Raw genomic sequence first — 27631 nt, forward strand, 5'->3', positions numbered from 1 at the left:
TACACAGTCTCGCTTTCCAGCTCATTTGATACGCTCCATCAGAAATAAATTTTCTATTTAAAATCTGTTTGTAATGATTTGAAATTACCCCCTTGACAACCTATAAAAGGCTTTAACACTTAACTAAAGGAAGAAGAATTCTCAAAAAACAACATCAGGCAAATTCAAAAAGATAAATTCAAGACACTAGTCGATACAGCTGGAGAAGTTACTTTTATTCTTGCAGTTTTATACTAGGAAGTCAACATTTAATAAGCCATCATCCACAATTGATTAAAAATGTTTAATCCTTAAATTGTGCATCAATATCCTATGACTCCAAATTTTATTTATCACTCTCCTTCAAGTCTGAAGAAAATGATTAATTTGCTAAGTTCCACAGACAGTACAGTCCCACTGACATAACATTTAGTATGATGTCCTACTCTCATATTAGAATTAAGGACAGCCAGTATCAAACTGGCCTGAAACCTGATTGTGTTCCTGGTTCAGAATACCTGTAGTAAATCTGTAAATCCACACCAAGACACAACATTAAACTAGGGTGTGTATATCTTATAAAAACCTTTTCACAGTAAAAATCAACATTAAAATTTTACCAAATTCCAACATTATGGTTTTTGAATCCAATTAAGCTTTCAAAATGCCTGATTAGCTGTGAATTAATTATAAATAACTTCATGTAGTTTGCCCAGCATTTCAAAATGGTTATGGACTATCATGTTTAAAATGTCAAAGTATGCTATACATATTGCACTTTTCTGCTAGGCTGGGCTAGTATCTTCCATGGCAAGATCCTCAAACTACTGAATAAAATACACTTTTAAATCAATATAGGTACTTGATTAATTTCCCTGAAATTATCAACATCATTACCAAAATCTTCCAGGATTTTGTAAGATTTGATTCCTTAAATACAGTTTTAAAGTTAAACTTATGGAGGGAAAAAAACCCTCATAGATTGACTGTAAATTTTACGTCCTTTTTTGGTCCCTCAATGACCAAAGAGAATTTTAAACAAATTATGCTTCATGTTTCCTGGCTTAATAAAAAGCTACAATTTTTATTATCCAAATTAAGAAATATTATACTAATCAAAAGCTATTAATTTTGAAATGTCTATGTATGTCTGTCTGTAGGTCCCCTTAGAACCTTTCCAAACATTTATAATCAAGAGATTTTAATCAATTATGTACTAGAATCATATTAAAGAAAAACTTATTTTGCAAAAATAAAATCACTTTCCAATATGCTTGACAGAAACAAGCTATTCATTTTCATTTGTGTTCCACTGAAGACATTACTGAAATCTGTCCAATGGTTTATTTCCAAGTGGTCCACTATGGAATTCTTCGGAATGTTTTAAGATTGGCTGTAGCTAGAGTTCTGACTTCCATTTGGACCCTGCTCTCCTTCACTGTTCAAATGGGGAAGAAAGAGATTTTATACCAATTAAAAGATCCATTTTTACACCCTGATAAGCCTACTGACTTTTAAATTCATTATTCTGTGGCACAACTATACAAAACAAAGACATTCCTCATTATAAGACACGTGAAAAATTAAAATCCAGAAGACTAACAAACATTGGTTTTATGTTTTTATTCTTATATAACTTTGTGCCCTCACATATAACAAGCATTCTGGAAGTTAGTGTCCATATATACTCAAAAACTTTAAATTAGGGTATGGGATTTCATTGTTATTACAGGTATCACTCAACATAGAGATTACAGCTTCTTCTAAACAAATTTCCTATAAAATTAAATCTTACATATAAAATCCTATTCCTACTATTTATGAAAAACAAGAAGTGTTCTTCAAAAAAAAAAAAAAACCAAAACTGTTGTCCAAAGGCATAATAAAATCATATATAAATACAGCAAACCTTTATAAGTCAGCAAGAAATATGGTAATTTCCTGGAAAATGCTGAATACTTAAAATAAAAATGCTGAATACTTAAAAATAACTAAAACTGAAAATACCAGTAACTTTGGCAATAGGATTATTGCCTTATCTTGTCCACCATCATCTTGCAGCTTCAGGCCCTGCCACTAGTGGAGAATCACTCAGGGAATTTCTGCAAAAAATGCATCCAAAGGTAGCTGTTTGAATGACTGCCTTAAACAGCTCCTTGAATAAAGTATTAACTTTTTCCAAATTGTAACATTAACTTATGAGTAGCAATCCATAAATCTATCTTGTTATATAACAATCATTTTTCTAAAGAAACAATTAAGATGGATGGCATTTCTTTATTTCCCTTCTGACTTTTTCTCCCTGCCCCAAATGAACTGATACACAGTGAGGGCTGAGAACCACTGAACTAAATGAACACATCTTACTTAAAACACACACATACACCCCAATAACAACAAAAAAAACCCTCTTAGCACAGGTGATTCATTTTTAGCAAAAATATATTCTTATGTGCCATGGACCTTAGGGTCACTTAAAAACCAAAATTCTTTATCTTTACAATATCAGATCATTCATTGAAATTTTTGAAAATTGCTACTGAAATTTATAAAACAGGACAATAGCCAGCAGTGAAAAAAAAAAAAAAAAAAGATGGCACAGAATCAAACTGACATGAAACTACTATAGTTCTGAATTCTGCCCTGAATTTCAGATGAACTTACCTAATTCTGTCAGCTTTAAATTTATGGTATATGACCATATGTTGAGAGATACCTGTAATATACCTCCACTGCATTAGGAAAAGTTACTAATCAGATTAGTGATTTTTTTAAATGAGACATTCTCAATCAAATCACAAATTTAAAAAATAAAATTAACATGGATCATGAAGTTTTGGAAGAAATGTTTTAAAAACTACAAAACAACATAATCTAAGAAAAATATAGTAAGTATGATATATGATTAAATGACATCAATAATTAAAGTCTACAAAGTACCTGTTTGGAGGTGGTTTTGGTTTTGGCATCTTACTAAGAATGGTTGCCATCTCTTTTCTCTCATCGAAATTCTTCCACTGCTCATATAGTTTTAAAATAACCCTGATTATTTCCAAAATCTAGAAGAAAATATTTGAAAAGTTCTCAGTGGCAAAAACAAGCAACATTTTTTATATAAAGAGCATACATCACTACACAACCCTCAGAAAACAGTAAATAGTCTCTGTCCTTAAATCCTGATAAATTTGAAAGCAGTATTTTTCACCACAGTGCTGTTTAGGATTTTCCTTCTAGCATCTCATTTTTCAGCATGTGTGCATTGTCCATTCTTATCTATCTCTGCAGCTGATTTCCTTCCATCTGATGGTATCTTTTAAACTGAAACATACTAAGAATAAAGGTTCTAATCATGAGGGAATATACCACTATAGAGCACACTCCTCTAGTATAAATTATTTTAAACAACTTAATCGGGGGTAGTGCACAAAAGATGTTTTGATTCTCTGTTACTACACATACATTAAGGTGCTCAAAAACTGGCAGCTACAAATTTGAAACAACTAGTTAACAAATTAGCTATTTTTTTCCCACCTGAGTAGAACCTAACCTTAGGATTAATTTTAATGCATTTAACACTTGAGCAGAAAAGCTAGAAACACAGCAAAAGCCATTCTGCCAGGAGATAGGCTATGTTACAGAAGTTCACAGTAGTATTCAGTGGTTACCAGGGAGCTTTTAAAATAATCCTGGGAATGAGAGGCTACTTTGCAACCAATTAAACCAAAAGTTTACCATTCTGTTTAATCCTAAACTGAAAAGAGATACATAACTTAAATAATCAGCATTAACTCTTCCTACCAAACTTTTTTTTTTTTTAAACGGAGTCTCGCTCTGTTGCCCAGGCTCGCGTGCAGTGGCACGATCTTGGCTCACTGCAACCTCTGCCTCCCAGGTTCAAGCAATTCTGTCTCAGCCTCCCGAGTAGCTGGGAGTACAGGTGCATGCCACCACACCCAGCTAATTTTTGTATTTTCAGTAGAGACGGGGTTTCACCATATTGGTCAGGCTGGTCTTGAACTCCTGACCTCAGGTGATCCGCCCACCTAGGCCTCCCAAAGTGCTGGGATTACAGACACAAACCACCATGCCCAGCCCATGTTTCTTAATATTTTGTAACCAATAATCTTCTTAGCCTGGTGGACATCACAAGATTTTAGGCTCATGATAAGTAAATATGACATTAATTTTTAAACATCCAAGTTTACATACAACTAAGGGAATACCTTTTCCATATCCACAGAAAGCTCAGCAAACCATTGCCTGGCATCTTTCTGCTGTACAACACAGGCTACATGTAGGCAAGCTGAAATGAAAATGAGAGACAACTGTCCATGTTTAACTGCAAACACAGAATATATGATCTAACAAAGATTTTTCACTATTTCCTGTGTATTTTCCAACACTCTTTAAAAAACATTAAACAGCTACATATGAGAGTTACCACTGACCATCTCATCAATGTAATCCGAGACAGAAAAAATTACTAGATTACATCAAGTTCTTGACATCTGGTCCTCACTGCGTGCTAGTCATGGTGCAGTTGCCTTGAGAGTCAGGCACGTTAAAGAGGAAAAACATCCAATGAGGAGAGCAGAAAAGGGAAGTTATCCCTGAGTAGTGTACAAAGTAGCCGTTAAACTGCACCCAGAAGTCAGTGTGACAAAACAAAACAAACAAAAATGTTAATTAATATACTAGGTTTTAACAATGTTGACTGTGTTTCCACATTTCAGTTAAAAGCAGTGTTGCCTGGCCTTTTTTCTTCCTTTTCATTATTAGCACATGATCAAGTTATGTGAAAGCTGGGCACATCCTTACAGAATTCAGTGTTGTAATCAAATAAAGGTTAGAAAATAAATGTAATATACTGTATACAATATTAGTTATATATGTTATATACAATATAAACTAACAAAAGAGAGGAATCTACATCATAATTTTGCCTAAAACAATTTCTACTGAGCAGCCTGTATACCCTTAACCCACTCCAGCTTAAGTTATACTCCGTGGTCTGGTTATCCATGTCTTTGCTAAGGATGACATTCTAGGCAAATAGCAACTCAAATGTGAACTGACACACTGGTTGCCCTAAGTCAAGCAAAGCTATGAGTAGGGCTTAGGTCAAGAAGAGGTTAAAAAAAACCAAATGACTGACATGATAAAAACAGGAAATTAAAATACAGTGGACAATGCTATTAACATGGGCATGCATAGAGTACACTGAAGATTGAGGAAGCATCCTAAACCCAGACTGAGGTGATGCTGAAAGGGTGGGGGAGGGTCACTGAAGAGCTGATATCTAAGCCAAGTCTTACAAAAAAAAAAAATGAGAGTGGGAGAAGAGAATAGTATGTATATCAATTGGGAGACGAATTTGGCTAGCTCCGGGTTTCTCAATCTTGGCACTACTGACATCTTAGGTTGAACAATTCTTTGACACTGTCTTGAATACTACAAGATGCTTGGCAGCATCCCTGGCTTCTACCCACTAGATGCTAGTAGCACCCTACCCTAGTTATGACAACTAAAACCAAACATTGCCAAATGTCCCCTCGGGGCAAAATTATCCCCAGGTGAAACCACTAGCCTAGCTCAACAGTTTGGAAGATAGACAGGCTCTCTGAGGATGGGAGTGCTGGAGGCTAATAAGCCAGTTAGGAGACTGCTGTGGTAACATGGATAGAAATGAGAAGATGACTATGAGATTACAGAAGGAACAATCGAGAGGAAGGCACAAAATGTACTGGTAAACAACTACATGTGGGTATTGAGGGAGATGAAAGGGCCTAACTGCTGGGTTTCCAACTAAGGTATATAACTAGTGCTATTCACCAAACTGGCAAAGACATTAAAAGGAGGAACATATTTTGGGGCAAAGTGATAAGCTCAATCCTCATCATGAGTCTGAGGTGCTGGTGGGATGCCAAGCGGAGCTATGTAAAAGGAAGATGGATATAAAGAACTGCCAAGTGGCAAGATCTTGGCTAAATAAAGAGATTTAAATGTTTCGGCATGTAAGTGATAGTAGAAGCCATGAATCTCAGTTAAAGTACCCAAGAAGAAGACAGCAGGGATGGCAAAGATGTGACACATGTTCTGTTATCCCTTCCTTCCTACCTATGCAGATCCCAGTATTCCTACCCACTGGGTAGGACACCACTCAAAATCCTTTCAAATCCAGTCCTTTCAGGGAACTGCCAGTAATACAGAAGTGTAAGTATAACCTATTTGTCAGCCCTGATGTAAGAAGGCCAAGAAACATCAACATTTAAGGAATAATTGAACAACTGAACAAAGACAAACCAATGGAAAATAAGAGGGGAAAATCAAGAGGATGGAGTTATAAAAATCAATAGAAGGGGCTGGGGTGCAGTGGCTCACGCCTGTAATCCCAGCACTCTGAGAGGCCAAGGAGGGTGGATCACCTGAGGTCAGGAGTTCAAGACCAGCCTGGCCAACATGGCGAAACCCTGTCTCTACTAAAAATACAAAAATTAGCCAGGTATGGTGGTGGACACCTATAATCCTCCTGTAGGCAGGAGAATCGCTTGAACCCAGGAGGCAGAGGTTGCAGTGAGCCAAGATCACACCACTGCACTCCAGCCTGGGAGACAGAGTGAGACTCCATCTCAAAAAAAAAAAAAAAAAAAAATCAATAGAAGGAAAAGGAACAAAAATTAACAAGTGCCCAATATATAACAGGCATTATTTGGTGCTCTACAACCTATCTCATTTAATTCTTCAAACGGCTCAGTGGAATTATTAGTATTCTCTCCATTTTACAATTAAGGAAACAAACACGGAAAGGTCAGATAATTTTCCCACAATTGTAAAGGAGGTAAAGTTTAAGCCTAGGACTATCTGACTCCACCCATTACAGCACTGCTTTCCACAGACTGTAGAATGAATGTACTTAACGTCTTCCTCCAGCCAAGCATTATGGACCACAGATGCTCCTTTACTCAACCTCTGAGTATTTGTTTGGGCTCAGGATATGAAAGCCCCAATTATTTTACATGCTACAACTAATATTAGCTGGCTTAATTCTGAACTTTTCCCTCTAAACAAACAAATATGTTCTATTCAGACACCGATTAAAACTATTTTGAATGGTTTCAAAAAAAAAAAAAAAAAACTTACCAAAAAGGGGGTGGGGGAATAATAATCCTGATTTATGACAGTTGCAGTTCATATTATTGAAAGCTCACATGCAAGGATTAGTCTATTACTTCATGGAACATAAAAACATAAAGTACAATAGGGTGAAATTTAGTTTAGGATGACCTAAATAAGTTTATAACAATTTAACTCATAAAGGCACACCATGCTTACATACCTAAAGCTATCATGAAAGGAGGATACAGTAGGCAAAGATCCGTTCTGTAGGTATCATTCACTATCCTCCTATAGAAATGTAAATCATATTATTACTGAAAGCAGAACTACCTCATCTGATTGTATATTTCCTCCAGAGAGGGCCAGATTTCCCATCTTTGCACACATTTATTTCCTTTTATACTACTGAAGCACAGCTATAAAAGTGAAAACATCAAGGCAAAAGGATGGATACATGAATGTGACAACAAATAAGCACATATCAATGAATAAAATTACAGCTAAATATATTTTAAATTTCAAAATCTCATAACAAATTATAAACACATTTTTCTAATTTTTTAAAAATCAGAAAAATCAAATTAAAAAACCAGAAATTATACAGTAAATTTATATGTATGTTGCAGACTACCAAAAAGTATTCTGATTACTTTAAAGATAACTTCAGTCTTAATTTTTATGTTAACAGTCTGTGTTTTGTATAAAATTAAATTTTAATAGGTATATTTATGGAACAGATAATTTAGGATTGTTTTCATTTTGGCATTTACACCACTATAGTTATTAAAATTCAACAAGTGGTATTTTGCTCAACATAAAATATCTTGGGGCAATAGTTTAATGACTTTAAAAATACTTAACTTCATATTTAATTGTCAACCTTCCTATCTAATAACATGTTACACTATTAATAACTTCTGTTCTAATTACCATGCAAGGGGAAGCAACATGTCTTCTTGGCCCATGTCCTGCACATACTGGAGCAAAGGTCTATAAGGATGATACACTATCAAGCAACAATCCTAGAAACAGTTTAAAAAATGTGTATGTATAAAAAACAGATTTATTACAACACAAAAATGTTATCATTACCCAACTGATTTGTAATTGTGTATTTCAAAGTGAATTTCACTAACTCATGCTTGCTTCCCTTTTATTCTCTTAAGCTAGCAGTATGACAGCCCTAAACTCTACCGTAATAGTGAAGGCAGTGCTCTCTCTGGAATATACCTTGATAAATCGGTTGGCAGTCAGTCAGCATCCATTCATTCCCTTAGAGACTCAAAGTGTCACATCTGCAACACACTGAAACCTCTTATTAGCCTATAAATTCATAATTCCCAACTGGAGGAGCAGAATTCTGCCAAAGACATAATCTATCTTTAAATAACACTGCACGCACACACAAATTGTGCACATAATTTATGGTGGTTTAATGTCCTGACTTGTCTGTTTGTAATCCTTTCATTATAGTTACTTACTATAGAACAGAAAAATTTTCCCATCCTAAGTAGGATATACAAATTATTTTACAGGCTTCAGAGAGACTCTAGGTGCTAATATAAATAGGCTACCATGATTTCACCATCACATATTAGGTGGATGGTTTTAAAATGTACCTCTCTAAAATCATTTCTTTAAATAATTTCCAACTTCATTTAATTTAAAAATGTTTTAATCTATTAATCACAGAAGATTTACTTACCATTAGTTCTAACAGATAGAATTCACATTCTAATATCTGTTTAAAACAAAGATTATCAATGAAATGTCAATATGAAACCAAATTAGATAAGTCCACTTAATCTAACATAAATTACAGACATTATAGTAATTTATCAAAAATTTTTACTAAAAAGTTTTAAAAATCCAGACAATAAACATAGTTTATATTAAAATAAATATCTGCAATAAAAAATTACTATTAGAAATGCAATTATGATTATAAGGATTTTAATCCTTGTAAGGAAAAGCCAGCTTCTCACAATCATTCTTATTACTCACTTTTATTTAAAATATCCTGTAAAACCATCAGATTTTCCAGTATACTTTCTACTCAGCAAATGCAAAAATACAATTATTTCTACTTAATTTAAAAAATGTAACTTAAAGAGAATAAACAAATCCCTTGCAAGGTGGAAAAAGGACATACCTATTAAAATGTCAATAGAAATTCACCTTATATTTCATATTGTTCCATTAGTTTTTAATCCCAGCTAAATAGTAGTATCACCTGGGACCTTTTACACAGTACCAATGTTGGGAGCCCCAAGGCTGAAAATTCTGATTTTGTTGTTCTGGAAAGGATCCAACATCAGTATTATTTACAAGTTCCCAAGGTGATTTAATGAGCAGCCAGGGTTGATAATCGCCACTATGAAGTATTTTTTTTAAATGGTAAAAGCTATTTAGCTTTAATTTAGAATAATGTCTGTATTTATGTAATATTTGAAACTGCCATTTCTAGGAAACTATTAAATTTAGTCTAATATAAAATAGAGCTAGTTTATATATAGCTTTGATAATTGTTCCATTTTATATCATATACTTACATGATTCATCCTATAAGGAAATTCCTTTGGAAAGGCATATGAAAATCTAGTTTTTACTGCAGAAAATAAAAAAAAAATTTAAACTGAGAAAATGGGAAATAAATTAACTCAAAATTCCTTTAACAGAGCAGAATATTAGAGGGTAGAGCAAAATTATTTTCAGTAGGAATTCTTGGCAACACTTACGGACGCAGATTTTTATTTACTTTCAGGGAAGGGGAAAGACTGGGGGGCAGGACACTCTACACAGCTTCAATTTTATATTTACTACCTTAAGAAAGGATTCTGATGTTTAAAAAAGAAAAAGATCAGGAAAAAAAAATCACTGGCTTTTATCATTTCTAAAATCTTTTCAGCTACAGAATGGTATTCTTCTGTTTTCCAGTGACTGAGCTTAGAAGGAACACAGGGGTTACATATGTGTTTACAATATATACAATTGGTAAAAAATATACATATAAAATATTGGGAGGATAGTACACCAAAAAAATGTTAACAGTGGTTATTTGTGAGATTTAAGAACTTTTTACTAATCTGCACTTTCTAAACTTTTTACAATGACCAGGTATTTATCAAAATATATATTTTAATAAAAGCATTAATATATATGCAAAGGTCTCGAGTTACTCATAAAGTAGTAGTAGTAACACATAAAGTTAGTACTCTATTATCTATTACTTTATTGGTTAGTCACTAAATAAAGTACAAATGAAAAAAAAATGTTAACCATCAATCCCCCATCTCCTTAAAATGGTGTGAGCATATACACATAAGTACTATTTGAGAAACTGTATTCAAGCCATTATGACACATTTAATTCAACCAAGTAACTACTGACAGGTCCTAAAAAATGTTTAGTGTCAGCTTCCATTTGTACAAAGCCCAAGTGATTTCACTGAAATTAAAAGAAATTCCATTTCTGGCCAGGCACAGTGGCTCATGCCTGTAATCCCAGCACTTTGGGAGGCCAAGGTGGGTGGATCACCTGAGGTCAGGAGTTCGAGACCTCCTGGACAACATGGTGAAACCCCATCTCTACTAAAAATACAAAAATTAGGCGAGTGTAGTGGCATGCACCTGTAGTCCCGGCTACTCGGGAGGCCGAGGCAGGAGAATCCCTTGAACCCGGGAGGCAGAGGGTGCAGTGAGCTGAGAACACACCACTGCACTCCAGTCTGGGTGACAGTGAGACTCCATCTCAAAAAAAAAAAAAGAAAGAAATTCCATTTCTTCTATGCACTATGTTTTCAAAAAGATTTGTTTTGCAAATTCAGTGCCCTACAGCTAATTTAGATGTGTAATATCTGCCAGGATTTGAAACCTAGAATAATTTAAACTTGACATTAGTAAATTTATAATCTTTCCTTTCTTCTCTCCTTTATTTAAATTTAAGACGTACCTATTAAGGTTTCTGAGTTTTACAAATCCTTGTGATGTAAAGTATACCAGCACAACAGGTTCTTATATAATGGTAGACAATCAACAAAGTAAAATTATCTCTGTATATAAAACAAATCTACATCCCCATCCCCTGGACCTTGACACCTAACACCTCTATTGAGAATATATTTACCTGATACTGTCACATGTCTGTTACTCCATGCTAAAACTGCTCTGCATTTTTTTCTGTCTTTTAATCCTTTTCCTCCAACTTGGAGAAAAATACATCCCTCCTCTCTATTGTTTGTCTTACCACTTATACACTTATTATCATCTATTCAATTGATAACTCCTGCTATTTTTTTCATCTTTAACCTTCCTCCTTCAGTAAATCTTCCATCACATACTAATATGCTCAAATTTCCCTTGAAAAAAGCAAAACAAACTCTACCTAATTATATTCCTCTGCCTTTTATTTTTGTAGACTCAAACACTGAGATCATGCACAGTTCTCTTATACCCACCGTTATTGACTTCCCAGCCTCCAGAACTGTGAGAAATAAATGTCTGTTGTGAAAGCCACCCAGTCTATGGTACTTTCTTATATTAGCCCAAGTGGACTAAGACATGCCTTCACCCAGCTTCCCCTACTATTAACATCTTACATTAGTATGGCGCATTTGTTACAATTACTGACCCAATATTGAAATGTTATTATTAACTAAACTGTACTTTTTTCAGATCTCCTTAGTTTGTACCAATGTCCTTTTTCTATCCTAGGGTCTTATCTAGGATACCACATTATATTTATTTGTCATGTTTCCTTAGACTGTTTGGCTGTGACAGTTTTCTAGCCTTTCCTTGTTTTTGATGACTTTGACAGTTTTTAGGAGTACCAGTCAAGTATTTTGTCAAATGCCCCTCTACTGGAATTTGTCTGATGTTTTTCTCATTAGACTAGAGAAAATGGGTTTTTGACAGGAAGACCACCGAGATAAAGTACCATCTTCATCATATCACATCAATGATACATGATATTAATGTGATTTATCACTGTTGCTACTGACCTTGATCGCCTGGCTAAGGCAGTATTTCTCAGGTTTCCCCACTGTAAAGTTACCTTTTTCCTCCCTTTCCATATGTACACACTAGCAGGAAGTTAACATGTATAGCCAGCACCTTAGGAGTGGGGAGTTATGCTCCCTCTACTTGAGGGCAGAATAGTTACATATATTATTTGGAATTCTTCAGCATGGAAGACATGTCTCTTCTCCCTCATTTATTTATATCAGTATGGACTCATGGATATTTAGTTTATACTTTGAGTTATTATCCAATGCTATTTTTAAAATTTTGATGCTCAAATTCTTTCAGCTTTGGTCAGTGGGAGCTCTCTTAGTTAGCTCCTATATCCTTTTGACATATCCTCATCAATAGACGTTTTTGTTTTTCTTGTTTGTTTTGAATACTTCTTTATTACTGGCATTAAGAGATGGTCCAGGTCCATCTTGTGTATTTCTTGCCCCAGTCCTAGAATCAACCATTTCTCCAAGGAGCCCTGGTACCTTTTATTGGAGAATGATATTAGAAACCAAGATATGGGTACTAGGTGAGCTCATTGCTACTGGGATGTCATTGCTTATAGACCCTTTCAGCTGAGAAAGCCAAGAAATACACACACTAACCCATGTATATACACTTATCTATAAATATTTCTATATGTAACTAACCATCTATATTGTATTAAGGTACACGAGTTCATGCTGTTTCCAGCCCTTTGCTTATCTGTAAATTCCCGCTCCAACAATGAGAAACCCGGCTCTCAAACATTTGCTATTGATTTACGTAATTGTTTAATTCCCATATACATGTATAGCATTATCAGAATTGTTAACTTGTACACCCATGGGTAATAACTTTATCAACTAGAGTACAGTGCTTATGTGTAGTTCCTTTTGCCTTTACTCTTACACTCTTAATCATTTCCAAAGCTACTTATGTCAACACCTTTCCCCCAATTCCCTTCACTGAAGTTGTTTCATATATTTTTAATATAGTTAGACTATTCCTTTCTCAGCACCTACTTGCTTCTTAATTCCTTGCAATCTGGCTTCTACCTCCACCCCCACATTGTTAATGACACTATGTTCTCTCTCAAAGATGTTTTTTTCTTTGGTTCACATCTTTTTCTATGCAGCATAAGACATTGTGGAACTCTTTTTTTTTTTAATTTTTAGGGACAGAGTCTTACTCCATTGCCCAGGCTGGAGTGCAGTGGCATAATCACAGTTTACTGCAGCCTTGAACTCCTGGGCTTAGGCAACCCTCCCACTTCAGCCTAGTTGAGTAGCTAGGACTACAGGTGTGTGCCACCATGCCCAGTTAGTTTTTCTTTAATTTTTTGCAGAGCTGGAATCTTGCTATGTTGTCCAGGCTGGTCTTGAACTCCTGTTCTAAAGCAATCCTCCTGCTCCAGCCTCCCAAAGTGTTCGGATTATAAGCAGGAACCACCATACCTGGCCTGTGCAACTCTTAAATGTTATCAAATTCCAAATTTCTACTGCTGGCCTCACATTTTTAAGAGGATGTTCTACTAACATATTTATACTTAGAATGTCAAAGATTAAATTTAATTCTTTTCAGAACTCACTTATTCTCTTTTTCAGTACCAGCTTCAGCTCCCCAACCCCCAGGCAAAAAAACCTCAAAACACATTTCTGACTCTTCTTAAATCCCTTCTTTTTATAAGAACTGCTGACTCTATCGCTCAAATCTGGCTTGTTTGTTCTTCTTGCTGGCTGCCAATATTCGTTTAAGCCTTCATTAGTGTTCACTGGGATGACTTCAGCAACTTAAAAATTATTTTTTCCACTTTAAACTTGTTAGGTTTTATTTCTCATAGCACCCTGTGGTAAGTGACAGCACTCAATACAGTTTGCAGTTTTACTGTATTTCAGAAGGTTTTTGTTTTTAAATTGTGTTAAGATATACAAAATTTTTGCAAAACTGAAACTCTGTATCCATTAATCACTCCCTATACCACCCTTCCTCCAGCCCTACCATTCTACTTTCTATCTTTATTAATTTGACTAAGTATTCCATGTAAGTGTAATCACACAATATTTGTCTTTGTTACTGGCTTATTTCACTTACCATAATGTCCTCAAGGTTCATCCATGTTGTGGGATGTAAATAACTTCAAAATTTGTCTAATTCTACCTGCCCTCTCCTCCAATTCATCTTACATAATTCTGTCAGATTTACCTTCCTAATGCACAATGCTAGCATTACCCTCATGTGTGAAAATAAATAAAACTGGCCAGGCACAGTGGCTCACGCCTGTAATCTCAGCACTTTGGGAGGCTGAGGTGGGTCAGATTTACCTTCCTAATGCACAATGCTGGCATTACCCTCATGTGTAAAAATAAATAAAACTGGCCAGGTGCAGTGGCTCACGCCTGTAATCTCAGCACTTTGGGAGGCCTGAGGTGAGGAGTTTAAAACCAGCCTGGCCAAAATGTTGAAACCCCATCTCTACTAAAAATACAAAAATTAGCCCGGCGTGGTGGCACACACCTGTAATCCCAGCTACCAGGGAGGATGAGGCAGGAGAATCGCTTGAACCTGGGAGGCAGAGGTTGCAGTGAGCCAAGATCGTGCCACTGCACTCCAGCCTGGGCGGCTGAGCGAGACTCCATCTCAAATAACTAACTTTCATTACTGTCAATAGAACAAAGTGCAGATTCCTTCATTTAGCATCGAAGGCCCTCTATTAGCTGAAATTAGGTAAGGAGTTTTCCCCACTATTTCCTTACTCACCATTCAGTTAATCTAACTCATGAGCTTTCCCTATTTGACTAAACTATTCAGTGTTCTTAGACTGTCTATCTCTTGCATTTCCCCAGTTCAACTTCCTTCACCAAGTTCTACTTAATCCTTTCTGGATTCATGAAACAATCTTTTCCCACCCAAAACATTCACAGCATTCTCTGTAACTCTCTTATACTATTTATTTCCTTCTGTATTAATATTTTTATGTTTCTGTCTTCTTTTTTTGTCCTTAAATTCCTTGTATTTTACCTTGGTACCAATGCCACTGCATTGGCACAGTGTTTTCCAGTGATAATGATGTTGTTGTCATTGAAGATGATGATGATGATGATAGCCCCTAAAGTTTACCAAGTATTGTGGACCAATATATGTCCCCCTCCAAAATTCGTATGTTGAAGCCCTAACTCCTAGTACCTCAGAATGTGACTGTATTTGGAGAGAGGGTCTTTAAAGGGATAAGATTAAATGAGGACAGGCCAGACATGGTGGCTCACACCTATAATCCCAGCACGTTGGGAGGCCGAGGCTAGCGGATCACGAGATCAGGAGTTTGAGACTAGTCTGGCCAACATGGTGAAACCCCGTCTCTACTAAAAAATACAAAAATGAGCTGGGCATGGTGGCACATGCCTGTAGTCCCAGGTACTCAGGAGGCTGAGGCAGGAGAATCACTTGAACCCAGGAGGCGGAAGTTGAAGTGAGCACTCCAGCCTGGGCGACAGAGCGAGACTCTGTCTCAAAAAAAAAAAAAAAAAAAAGAAAGAAAAAAAAAAGATTAAATGAGGACATAAGAGTGGGGCCTAATTCTGTAAGACTATTGTCCTCACATGAAGAAGACAGCAAACCAGGAGTGTGTGTGCTCACAGAAAGGTCCATGTAAGAATAGCCAGACACCTTGATCTTGGATTTCCATGCTCTAAAACTGTGAGAAAATACGCTTCTGTTGTTTAAGCCACCTGTTCTGTGGCATTTTGTTATGGCAGCCTCAGCAAAGTAACATACTAAGCAAGGCACTGTTCTAAAAGCTTATATTAACTCATTTGGTCCTCATAACAACCCAACAACACAGGAACGGGTTTGCACATAGATATTAATATCTACCCATAAGAATGACATAATAGTCATTAGAAAACAATAAAATACAATAAAATTCGGAAACAGAATTTTTTCTTTACTCTTACAAGATTAAAAGCCACTGAGTTGATGTTTTTGGATTGATAATTACTATCCATTTTAACATTAAAAGTAATATCTTTATATCTTTTTAAAAAAAAACCTTTTAGCTTGATTTTTTTGCCAGATACACTAGATATAAAGTTATCCTCAGGAAATTTAATAAAGCCAACCAATCTCATATGTCTCATAAACTAAAAAAAAAAAAATCTATGTACTCTGGAGCTTTCTTTAGAATTACATCCTTAAAGCAGATATACTTTTTGCACTTACATACAGAAGTAGCAGCAGCAATCAATCTTGTATTTGAAACTACTCCAAATTCCTAAAGAAAGAAAAGCAGGTACATGTTAACCCAATGAATCTAAGGGTATCTGAACTCTATTCAAAACAGGATTTCCTTGCTCCTGTTTACAATCTGTTCACCTTCTAACTACTTGAGGTGTGAAGTACTTACACTCCTAAATGTACAGGCTGATTACCCCTTATCTGACATGCTTAGGATCAGAGATTTTTCTGATTTAGGAATATTTTGCATTACACTGGTTGAGCATCCCTAATCTAAAAATCTGAAATGCAAAATGTTCCAATGAGCATTCCTTTGAATGTCATGTTGGCCCTCAAAACGTTTCAAATTTTGGAGCATTTAGGATTTTCAGATTACGGATATTCTGCCTGTATTACCTCTCCCCCAAATTGCTACAACTTAAGACATATTTTAAAATAATTTTATAATTTAATAACAATAAAAGGTACCAAATTAGAAACCAAGCCTTAAGGTTACAGTGTCAGTTTTTCCATTTAAATTAGTTTCCAAGAAGATTGTTTACATTCTATACTTAATTGCAAGAATATTAAGTATGTTTCCTATTCAATTCAACCTGTATTAACAGATACTTCATGCCATTCTATGGTAAAACAGTTGAATTTGTGAATAAGATAAACCTTAATTAATCACCAAAAGAACTAAAAAAAAAAAAAAACCATATAAATAGTTACTATCCTTTTTAGAACAGGGAGACAGGAATTACGTAAGACTTCCAAAGTCAGTTCCCATTTCCTCTTTCAACTGAACAACCACCATTGTGAAAATACTAAAATTTATTATGATCCACCTTATATATACTGTTTCATTTATTGCCTCGTAAGATTTCTAAAGCCTTCACTTCATTTTAAAATAAAAAAATCAAGAGTTGGTTTCTTATCCAACAAAAGGAGCTAAACTAAAAATCTATTTAAATACCTTCAGCCTACATCCTTATCCTGTGTAGGGGAAATGTATGTGTACTAATATATTTGTTTTACATTTAAACCTCCAACTATAATAACTGAAAAGAAAAAGTAAAAGCCTGAGACATGTTCTTAAATGAGCTTTCCATACAATTTCCATAAAACTAGAGAAAATACAGAAAGATTTGGTCACAGAGATAAAAAAAAAATAATAATAATGCTACGACCAAATCTGAAAGACTACATTCTCTTTCTCAGGAATAATTCTTTTTTTTTTTTTTTTTGAGATGCAATCTTGCTCTGTCACCCAGGCTGGAGTACAGTGGCATAGTCTTGGCTCACTGCAACCTCCACCTCATGGGTTCAAGCAATTCTCATGCTTCGGCCTCCCTAGTAGCTGGGATTACAGGCATCTGCCACCACATCCGGCTAATTTTTGTATTTTTAGTAGAGACGGGGTTTTGCCATGTTGGTTAGGCTGGTCTCAAACTCCTGACCTCAGGTGATCCACCCGCCTGAGCCTCCCAAAGTGCTGGGATTACAGGTGTGAGCCACTACACCCGGCCTAGGAATAATTCTTTATCCAAAACTCAAAGGGAAAACTTTCATTCAGTAAATCACATCACAGAGTTCTACTCAGTAAATCACATAACAATATTTAACAAGTAAGATAGATTAAAATCCTCAAATTAATCTACAAGATTAAATGTTTATAAAGATTTTTTGTCTTGGTCCTCCATACTGCCTGTGCTTAAGAGACTTTAAATTATTACATGGTAATATTTAAATAAAATCAAATATTACATAGAATTATTAGAATTAGAAAACTCAATCCATAATAAGGACCTTAACTGATTCTGCCTTCTTAAACTACCACTCACAATTAGAAAACATAAACTTCTAGAAAGCTTGTCTTAATATTATTTCTAACAGAGTCAATTGTCATTATTTAGGTAACAGTTGGGAAAGATGTCATGGATAACCTTAAATCATGGCTAAAACAAAACTAAATCAAAGTGGGTGCCAAAAGGAATGTAAACTTACTAGGTAAAAATCACATTCAATATTCAAGAATACAACTCTAAGAATAGAACTCTAAGACATTATCCAAAAATAGAAACATAATGCAAAGATTTCACACCACCAAAGACTACATTATTTATGAAAAACAGCCAATATCTGCTATTATTTTCTGGACTTTAGCTGAGCTCTTTCAAAAATACTACAAAGGTAAAACAGTTGAACAGAAATTCAGTCTCTGCCGCAAGTTCCTATCTATCTTCTCTCCCTTACCTAATTTCTCTACGCTCACAACCTCAACTTTTACTTGTTAGACTCTATATAGCTATAGCTTCCCCTAATCCTTGCCTTCCTTCTGGCTTGGTAGGCAGCCAATCATCAGGATGATGGGAGGGAAGACAGGAGAAGATAAGCATATGGGTGAGAAGCATAAGGGACATTCTCAGGTTATGGTAGGCAAGCTGTGGTACTTACTGAATACTACTCAGTGCCAAACAATAGATGTCTCAAAGGCAGCAGAGGAAAGTAGTTAAGAACACAGGATTGGTAACGAGACTCCCATGGTTCAAACACGGGCTCTCACACTTACTAGCTATATCATCTTAAGCAAGTTCTTCATCTCTGTCTCAGTTTCCTCATTTATAAAATGGGAATACTACTACTATGTATTCCAGTTTGTTACAAAGATTAAGTCAGTTGGTACACAGTAAGTGCTGTATGTGTCTGTTAAGTGAATATATAAGGATATGTATATATTTCTTTGATTTTGTACAATTTTAGTATTTTGCATAAATTACCATTTATTAATTTTACATAGGCCATGTGAAAACTGGGGCAGATTAACCAACATACATTGACTACACTTTGATGAAGAACAGAAAATTGTTTTATACCTCTACTTTGGATGCCAAAAACACACATGTAGGAGCCATTAATACAGGATCTATACTTTTCAGAGAATACCTAAAATATGATAAAACAAAGTTAAATATCATTCATACAGAAAACACACTGGGAAAAAAATCAAGATAACTCTATGGTAGACACATGATTCATTTACACTGTGCTAAGGTTCATCAACATTAGATAAGAGTTCAAATAAATAAAATAAAAACAATCCTACCTGGCATAGAATCTCTTGAAATATACCGTAGCAGTGGCAATAACTTGTTGTCTTAATTTAAGATGTTCACCTAATGCTTGGATAACTAAAAGGCAAATAATGAAATTTTAAATGTATCTTCTGGTATCATTATAATATTAACATTGAACAGTAACTTCCATGTGGTTAAATCATAATTATGTTCATTTTTAACAAAGGAAAAAACCTACACATGCTCTATGTGAGTCACAGTGGTCTAATTCTAGGATTTGCAAATGTGTTAAGAAATATATAGGTATGCATAAACAACAACAAAACAACAACAAAACAGAAATTGCCCCACAGGAAAAAATTATTCATCCATTAAGGAAGTTGAATAAATATTTCCCCTCTATCTTCTAAATATTTTTAATGCTTTTCATAGTATCTTTATAATAAATATAAAAAGAAAATATTAGACACCTATGAAACTTGTTAATACTACCACTTTTTTTGTTGTTTTGAGACAGAGTCTCGTTCTGTCGCCCAGGCTGGAATGCAGTAGCACGATCTTGGCTCACTGTAATCTCCACCTCCCAGGTTCAAGTGATTCTTGTGCCTCACCACGCCCAGCTAATTTTTGTATTTTTAGTAGAGAGGGAATTTCACCATGTTGGCCAGGCTCATCTCAAATTCCTGGCCTCAAGTGATCTGCCCACCTCTGCCTCCCAAAGTGCTAAGATTACAGGTGTGAGCCACCACACTTAGCTTTATACAGCTCACCAAAATAAATAAATAATACATAAAAATCCATAACGAATCCTCAAAAAAAAGATAAGTTTACAAAATAGTGAACCGAAAGTTAAAAAAATTATGTGACAAACCTACTACATGTCAGAGTAAAGATCTATCCCTACATCTTCTTCCCTTCAAAGCAAAGTTCTAAGAGAAACGACCACTATAGGATGTCAATCCAAAGAATCATTTATCCTCAAAGTACTTTGCTTTAGCCAACCTTGAACTGGGTCTAATAATTATTATAAAGTCTTAGGGAGATTAGGTAACACTTTCAAATTGTCTTGAGTGCCTGTGATATGTAAAATTCACACAAAAAAACTTTATTTGGATCACTAAAAAGAAAGATAAATGAATATGTTGTAAAAAGAATACCTGTATAAGCAAAAATGTTAGGTATGCACTAAAACAGTTCACAAATTACCACACAAAAACATTTTTATTCAGAGGTAACCAACTATACAATTTGAACCAATTTTTAAAAAAGTTTACCATTTGTAAAAAATATTTGTAACTTCCAATATTCTTCCTCTGAGAGAAACTTTAAATCCTTTTGGCGCTCCTTCAACAGATCTTGTTTATCCAAAATCCATTGCAAACTAGAAAAGACATGTTACAGAAAATCAACAAGCAAGGTCAGAGGAAACACTCTAAGATTGAACACATTGTTCATATTCTGAGAAGTACAAAGTGCAAAAAGTAACCTTAAAGACAATTATTTCTCACATTTCTTGAAACGTGACTAATAAGAATTATCTCACTAATAAATGTAAATACGTCCTGAAAAAATTCTGCTCTAATCTTTTCCTTCTTCCTCCTTAGTCTGTTACTAGCTTGTATTTCATTGATTCTGGCTCTGATATCAAGATATGTCTTACAATCTGTGATGCCTTCGTGTTTTAATTGGCAGCATGTTTATTCTTTCTTAGTGATATAAGATAATGGTGGAATTATTTGGCACCAATTGATGGTGGCTTAGATTTGAGGAAGTATATAGTTTTCCAGCTGTTCATGGGTAACTATGGCATTTAATTTCCTTACTTCACAAATCTAATTATATTAAAAACTGCCTCAGAATGTGTTACACTGATAGCCTCCTCCTCTTGCCTAGTCAAGTGTGCTATTTTTAACCAGATATGAAATTGACATGACTCAAAGAAAAAACTATCTTGAACCTGTGTTTGTCATTCAATATGTATTTGAAGTCTTATGTCAATGAACTTGTTATTCAGCATTCTTTTATACAGCTTTATGGATGGATCATTATTTAGCCAATCTCTACTGATGGAAATACAGGTCGTCATTTTTCACCCATATTTTCTGATACCCTTAAGGGCTTTTTTCCTTCAATTTATGATCCATCTGGAATTTATTTTGGTACAAAGTAGGGATCCAGCTAAAATTTTGTCAAATGCTTATCCAAATGCATGGAGGTATTTCCTAATTTATAATTCTATCATTATACTTGGATCTTCTTTATAATTTCCTATTTTTTTCTTGTTCACATGCTGTGCTATTTTAGACACAGAAAATTAAGTAATTAATAGCTGGTATAAAAAAAAACTCTCTTCCTACTATTTTCCTGAATGATATTCTTCTTAATGAATATCTTTGTAATTCTCCTTGCATATTTGATTAATAATATATTTGAAATAACTTCCCAGAAGTAGGATTAATGGGTTAGTGTTGCTGGTAACTTATTGATACACATTGTCAGTTTACCCTCCAAAAACATTATACCAATTTCCATTTGTATTAACAGTTCATGAGTGAATCTTATAATATTTAATCCTGGCCGGGCGCGGTGGCTCATGCCTGTAATTTTAGCACTCTGGGAGGCCGAGGTGGGTGGATCACCTGAGGTCAGGAGTTTGAGACCAGCCTGACCAATATGGTGAAACTCCATCTCTACTAAAATTACAAAAATTAGCTGGACGTGGTGGCGTGCGCCTGTAGTCCCAGCTACCTGGGAGGCGGAGACAGGAGAACTGCTTGAACCCGGGAGGTGGAAGTTGCACTGAGTTGAGATCATACCACTGCACTCCAGCCTGGGGTACAGAGTGAGACTCTGTCAAAAAAAAAAAAAAAAAAAAAATTCCTATGGGTTACTGCCACTTTTAAATACTTTGTAACTTAAAGGCAAAGTAGTATGTCACTGTTTCTTTTCCCTGTAGTTTACTTTTGAGGTTAAACATCTTTCCATGTCTTTATTGGTCAAATACAGTTCTTCTTTTGTACAATGTTAATTCTAATATGACCATTTTTCTAATGGGATTACCGATTTTTTTAATGATTAAGAGATTCTTCTGATCTAAAATTTGTATAGTATAAATAATAAATCATTTGTTTGTCAAATAAGTGCAAAATTTCTCCCAAGTTTAAATATCTCTCAGTATTTATTTGTAATACAGAAATCTGAATCACTTACTTAAATCTACCTTTTACTTTCATGTTTGTCAGGCATAGCAAGGCCTTTCCTGATTCAAAACGATAAAAAACAATTCACCCATATTTTCTAATACCCTTAAGAGCTTTTTTCCTTCAATTTATGATCCATCTGGAATTTATTTTGGTACAGAGTATAAAGCAGGGATCCAGCTAAATATGTTGTCAAATGCTTATCCAAATGTGCTAAGGTATTTCCTGATTTATAATTCTATCATTATACTTGGATCTTCTTTATAATTTCCTATTTTTTTCTTCTTCATATGCTGTGCTACTTTAAAACATAGAAAATTAAGTAATTAATAGGTGATATGAAAAATACTCCCTTCTATTCTTCTGAAAATTTCTGACTATTCTATCACAATTATTCTAAGACCTAAACTTTAGAAGCATTATGTCGAGTCCTAAAAAAGAATATCCATTCAAATTTTGTGATTACATTACATTTAAAGATCAATATGGGGAGAAATGACATCTTACCAAGAATTCAAACTCTATTAAAATCTGTATGTGCCACTATGGACTTTTAAAGTTTTCTTCCTACAGGTTCTGTATATTTCTTTATATTTTTCCCTCTGTATATTTTCTGTTGCTAATGTAAATTATACTTCTCTATCCATTTTTAAAAAGCTTTTATTTTTGCATTTTATAACTGGTCACCTTCCTAAACCTTTATTATTTCTAATAACTTCTCAATTAACTGAGTTTTCTCATTAATTTTATTTCCACGTATTGATAATTTTGTCCCTGTTTTGTCATTCTTTCTATATCTCCTTTGTATCAACTGTATTGACTAGCATATTGGTAAAATCTTAAATAGGCACCCTAATTATCTCAATGTTTCACCACTGCTGATGCTTTATGTTTTTCATGTTAAGGAAGCATCCTATTTCTGTTTTAGTAAGAGCTTTAGTCAAGGATAAATGTTGAATTGTATTAGTTTTTTAATACCTTTACTGCTTGATTTCTTAATATTGACTATATTTCTATAATAAAATCCAATGTCATGTTTTATACTTTCAATGTAATGTTAGACTGCATTTGGTAATAATTCATTTACAATGTTTGCATTAATATTCAAAAGTGAGACTGTTTTTAGTGTTCCCTTTGCTAGATTTTTCTGTGTTATCATGGCTTCATAAAGAGAATTAGAAAGCTTTTCTTCTTTCTGTATGAAATGGAACAATTTCAAAAGGAGATTCTCTTGAAAGATGGAAAGTATTTACCCATGAAATAACACATAGCTCTTGGGTAATACTCTTAACTTGCTTTGGCTTTCAAATTTAAAACCCTGGAGATAACCCAAAAGTACCCCTGGGTTTACTTTTCTCATTCCTAATTTTGTATTTTTGTATCATTCCTTTTTCCCCTGATTTAACTAGCAGTAGTTTGGTCTACTGTTTTTATTTACTCTAAGAATTAGCTTTTATAATTTTTTTCCTTTTAATATATTAGCATCGTTATCTATTTTAAGTCTTTCTGTTTCTTTAGGTTTATTTCATGTTTCCTTCTTAATATTATTAAATAGAATATTTCTATTATCTCTCAATTATTCAGGATATTGATTTTCTAATACATTCAAGCTTTGGTTACATTCCATATATGGTACTATTATGATGTTATTTTCTAGATAGTAAGTAACTGTATTTTCAGTTTCCTGTGGATACCAATAAAGTATCCACAGTTAGTTTTGTAGTTTTTATTTTTGTTACTTGTTCATTAATGCATTCAATTAACCAGCAAATACTTAGTGCCCTTCTAGTTCATTTTGGTCACAGACTGTGTTTTGTTCTACCTCAACTACACTGTGGTTTGCTAATTAATTTCATCCCCACAGAGTCATTTTATGTTTTTAAAAAGATAAATTTCACAAACATTTTATGAGTTTTCCTCACAGAACTCTGTATGGAGAATAAACTAAAAAACTTTATAAATACTGCATTTCATCAAATTTAAGATTACATCTAGGATTCATCATTATTTCATATGCTATGAAAGCAACTGCCATGCTGATTTCAAAGATGTTAAAGTGTGAAAACGTGCATCTTAGAAGCATGAAATATAGCATATTTAATATCAATTGCCCTCTTTCACCAAATTCACCTAAGACAATGGCCTTTCATAATCTTTTCGTTTGTTTTTCCAGAATTGTCTTGTCTTCCACACTCGTTACCTTTTCCAGATAAGAAACTCCATGACTGCTCAAGGGATTTGAGCAAGGCAAAGTGGTCCCTTCTTTTAGGACTATTTGAATTGGGAGAAAAGAATAGTTTCAAAGAAGTACACTTAACTTTATAATAATTTTATATTTGAAAAGTGAAAACATATTTTTAGAATGCTATGAATAAATGAAAGCATAATGAGAACACTATTGAAAATAAGGCAGGATCTTTTTTTTTTAAGTTGAAAAACTGAAAAATCAACAGTCAGCTACTTGTCAATTCTCTCAGCTTCTTTCAGAGTTTATCAGAATATCTCTTCTCCACTACCTAAACTTTTTTTTTCAGGAGCTCTAACTCCAATACCTAAACTTTCGATACTTTAATTTTGCCCAAGCAATATTTCAGTGTGTGAAAACAATGCAACATATATACACACACATATATATATACATACACACACACACATATATATACACACACACACATATGATCAGTGGTAAAGCTTCTTTAACATGTCATCTCCACAGAATCACTTTATAGCAAGAGGAAAACCTGCTTTTCCTTAAATAGGTTACTGAGTTCATTGTTTCTTTTTTTCTCTTTGCAAAGGGCTAAAAAATGAACATCAGGAACAGATCCTATTCACAGAATCGAAATTTAAATTACTTACTAATGCTTTCTTAGCATAAAAAATTATACCAAGATACCTTGTCAAATTCTGTTCATCTTTCAACTATACAGTGGAAAGCCTACTCAAATGTTCAATTTACCCCATAACGCACCTTCCTGCCTGCTTAAACAAATGTATTTAGGGATAAATGTTTTTAATATTATTCTAGCTCTCACATGGTCACTGACAGAAACAAGAACTTATTCATGAAAAAGGTTAAAGAAACAGGTAAACAAAGTCACTGGAAAAATAGGCCTTTAAAACAAAATATAAAGCACAGGCTAATGAAATGGATAAATTTAGAGGGCACCTGCCCTATACCTTATCAATATAAAACTCCATCTAGACATAAAGTACGCGCAAGAAGCGGTTAGTAGGCAGAAACAAGCCAGACTCTCTCCTCTCCTCATAATATTAAATCCACTCAAGATATACAGTGAATGACAAAAGACCACGACGCCGATCACCCGAAGAAACCCCAGGTAAAAGCACGCCACAACTGTCCTGAACAGGTAGCCTCACAGTCTTGAGCTGAGTCACACTTCCCGTACCTGTGCCCACTCTATCCGACCCCCCGCGGCCTAGCTAAACCAAGAATCCGAAATTAAACTCCGAAACGTTCCTTCCCGGGAGACGAAACTCTCTCCCACCCCTCCCCCTCACAGATCCTTCCCTCCCCGAAACTGGGGCTGGGGGCGGGGAGGGGAGTCGCCTCAGAAAAGCGCATCTTGATTCTGACCGCTGCGGTCTCCCGTGAGGACCCCGGCACTCGGAACTGAGCTGGGATCCAGGCCCAGGGGAGTCACAGGCCCCGTCCTCACAGCTCCCCCAAAAACCGGCCCCAGGTGAGAAGACGGAAGATCGCTTACTAGTGGGAGCTCTGCCAAAAGTTCCCTGCCATGGAACACAGCTTGCCCTGATAAAAAAGCACCAGCCGGCGGAGCGGCCCGCGGAGCGACCATAGACCCAGCCCGTCCGGTAACCGCGCTCCTCGATCAAATCAGCTCGGCTCGACTCCGCTCCGCGGCGGCGACGGCGAAAGGAAGAGGATGGCCCCCTAGTCTCCTTCACGCCGGCCGACAACACTCAACTGTGCAAACCCGTTCCTATCGACAAAAGTTCCGGCCCGCGGTAGCGGAGGGAGCCGGAGGGGAGGTGCTGACCCTTGGAGGTGCTGAGATTGAAGAGAACTAGTGTTCACGAGAGCTCGCGGCGGTTGGAAGGCTCTCGCGAGAGCGTCTTGAGAATTCTGGCCGGGGGCCCAAGCCGCTCGGTCTCCTGTCTTCAGCACGGGAGTTGCTGAGTGGGTCTAACCTAGGCGAAGTGGCTCAGATACGGGGTTCTGTTATTACCTCTTCCAGGACTTCAAAAACAGAACAATGTGGCATTGTAATAAAGTACAAGGTTTTGTGACTTATTTTTCCTGTGATTGGAAAGAGAAATAAATGAAGATGACTTTGTTCTCAGGGATCAAGTGTTCCTTTTTTTTTTTTACTTTATTTATTTATTTATTTTGAGACGGAGTCTTGCTCTGTCTCCAGGCTGGAGTGCAGTGGCACGATCCCGGCTCACTGCAAGCTCCGCCTCCAGGAGTTCAAGCGATTCTCCTGCCTCAGCCTCCCGAGTAGCTGGGACTGCAGGCGCGCACCACCATGCCCAGCTAATTTTTGTATTTTTAGTAGAGATAGGGTTTCACCATGTTGGCCAGGATAGTCTCAAACTCCTGACCTCGTGATCCGCCCTCCTCAACCTCCCAAAGTGCTGGGATTACAGGCGTAAGCCACCGCACCCTGCCTGTTTTTTACTTTTGAGACGGAGTCTGGGTCTGTCACCCAGGATGGAATGCAGTGGCACAATCTCGGCTCACAGCAACCTCTGCCTTTCCAGTTCAAATGATTCTGCTGCCTCAGCCTCCCAGGTAGCTGGGATTACAGGGATTACAGGCGCGTGCCACCACGTCCATCTAATCTTTGTATTTTTAGTGGAGAGGGGATTTCGCTAGGCTGGTCTGGAACTCCTAACCTCAGGTGATCCGTCAGCCTCAGCCTCCCAAAATGCTGGGATTAACAGGCGTGGGCTACCAGGCCCGGCCTGGATCAGGCGGTTTTTTTTTTTTTTTTTTTTTGAGACGGAGTCTTGCTCTGTCGCCCAGGTTGGAGTGCAGTGGCGCTATCTAGGCTCATTGCAACCTCTGCCT

The 27631-nt window shown here is 35.7% G+C and overlaps 1 protein-coding gene and 1 pseudogene across 23 annotated transcripts in view, besides 3 other annotated features; one reads left to right on the forward strand and one right to left on the reverse strand.

The window, feature by feature from the left end:
- Positions 1 to 27631, forward strand: part of TSTD3 (thiosulfate sulfurtransferase like domain containing 3) — a 66727-nt pseudogene that overhangs the window by 21144 nt on the left and 17952 nt on the right. For 3 of the 14 annotated variants that reach the window (NR_197376.1, NR_197377.1, NR_197369.1), the window contains one exon: positions 8034 to 11609. The exons of 6 other annotated variants lie outside the window; for them this stretch is intronic. The product of NR_197376.1 is annotated as a thiosulfate sulfurtransferase like domain containing 3, transcript variant 10 (transcript). Of the gene's footprint in view, positions 1 to 6104; positions 6193 to 8033; positions 11610 to 25373; positions 26897 to 27631 lie in introns of those variants that run through there. 5 more of the 14 variants (NR_197381.1, NR_197367.1, NR_197379.1 and 2 more) reach the window with 3 other exon arrangements.
- Positions 195 to 26622, reverse strand: CCNC (cyclin C). 9 transcript variants are annotated; one of them, XM_047419485.1, is made up of 13 exons: positions 26526 to 26622; positions 24706 to 24846; positions 20650 to 20756; positions 19405 to 19489; positions 19175 to 19244; positions 16305 to 16356; positions 9648 to 9703; positions 8801 to 8836; positions 8026 to 8117; positions 7316 to 7383; positions 4203 to 4282; positions 2920 to 3038; positions 195 to 1417 (listed from the first exon to the last, which is right to left on the reverse strand). In XM_047419485.1, the coding sequence occupies exons 2-13, from the start codon at positions 24723 to 24725 to the stop codon at positions 1363 to 1365; spliced, it is 840 nt and encodes a 279-aa protein (XP_047275441.1). In that variant the 5' UTR covers positions 24726 to 24846; positions 26526 to 26622; the 3' UTR covers positions 195 to 1362. The 9 variants fall into 9 exon arrangements, with proteins under 9 accessions (XP_047275441.1, NP_001350466.1, NP_001013417.1 ...); NM_001363537.2 differs by lacking the exons at positions 24706 to 24846; positions 26526 to 26622 and adding exons at positions 1987 to 2081; positions 26304 to 26468; NM_001013399.2 differs by lacking the exon at positions 24706 to 24846.
- Positions 26166 to 26245: an enhancer, noted in NCBI's record as "active region_24860". NCBI's record gives its function as "activates an Ori minimal core promoter by ATAC-STARR-seq in GM12878 lymphoblastoid cells {active_cell/tissue: GM12878}" and the evidence as "EXISTENCE:reporter gene assay evidence [ECO:0000049][PMID:35858748]".
- Positions 26366 to 26655: an enhancer, noted in NCBI's record as "active region_24861". NCBI's record gives its function as "activates an Ori minimal core promoter by ATAC-STARR-seq in GM12878 lymphoblastoid cells {active_cell/tissue: GM12878}" and the evidence as "EXISTENCE:reporter gene assay evidence [ECO:0000049][PMID:35858748]".
- Positions 26776 to 26825: an enhancer, noted in NCBI's record as "active region_24862". NCBI's record gives its function as "activates an Ori minimal core promoter by ATAC-STARR-seq in GM12878 lymphoblastoid cells {active_cell/tissue: GM12878}" and the evidence as "EXISTENCE:reporter gene assay evidence [ECO:0000049][PMID:35858748]".

This window comes from Homo sapiens, chromosome 6 (genome assembly GCF_000001405.40).
Source record: "Homo sapiens chromosome 6, GRCh38.p14 Primary Assembly".
In the NCBI taxonomy this organism is placed as follows: domain Eukaryota; kingdom Metazoa; phylum Chordata; class Mammalia; order Primates; family Hominidae; genus Homo; species Homo sapiens.

Bases quoted from the DNA above. Each gene is read 5' to 3' on its own strand.
- CCNC (NM_005190.4), bottom strand. From the start codon at position 26,335: ATGGCAGGGAACTTTTGGCAGAGCTCCCACTA. The intron at 20,757-26,303 runs GTAAGCGATCTT...TGTCTTTTCTAG, and splicing joins TTTTGGCAGAGCTCCCACTA to TTTGCAATGGATTTTGGATA. The intron at 3,039-4,202 runs GTATTCCCTTAG...ATTTTCTTCTAG, and splicing joins TTTCTGTGGATATGGAAAAG to ATTTTGGAAATAATCAGGGT.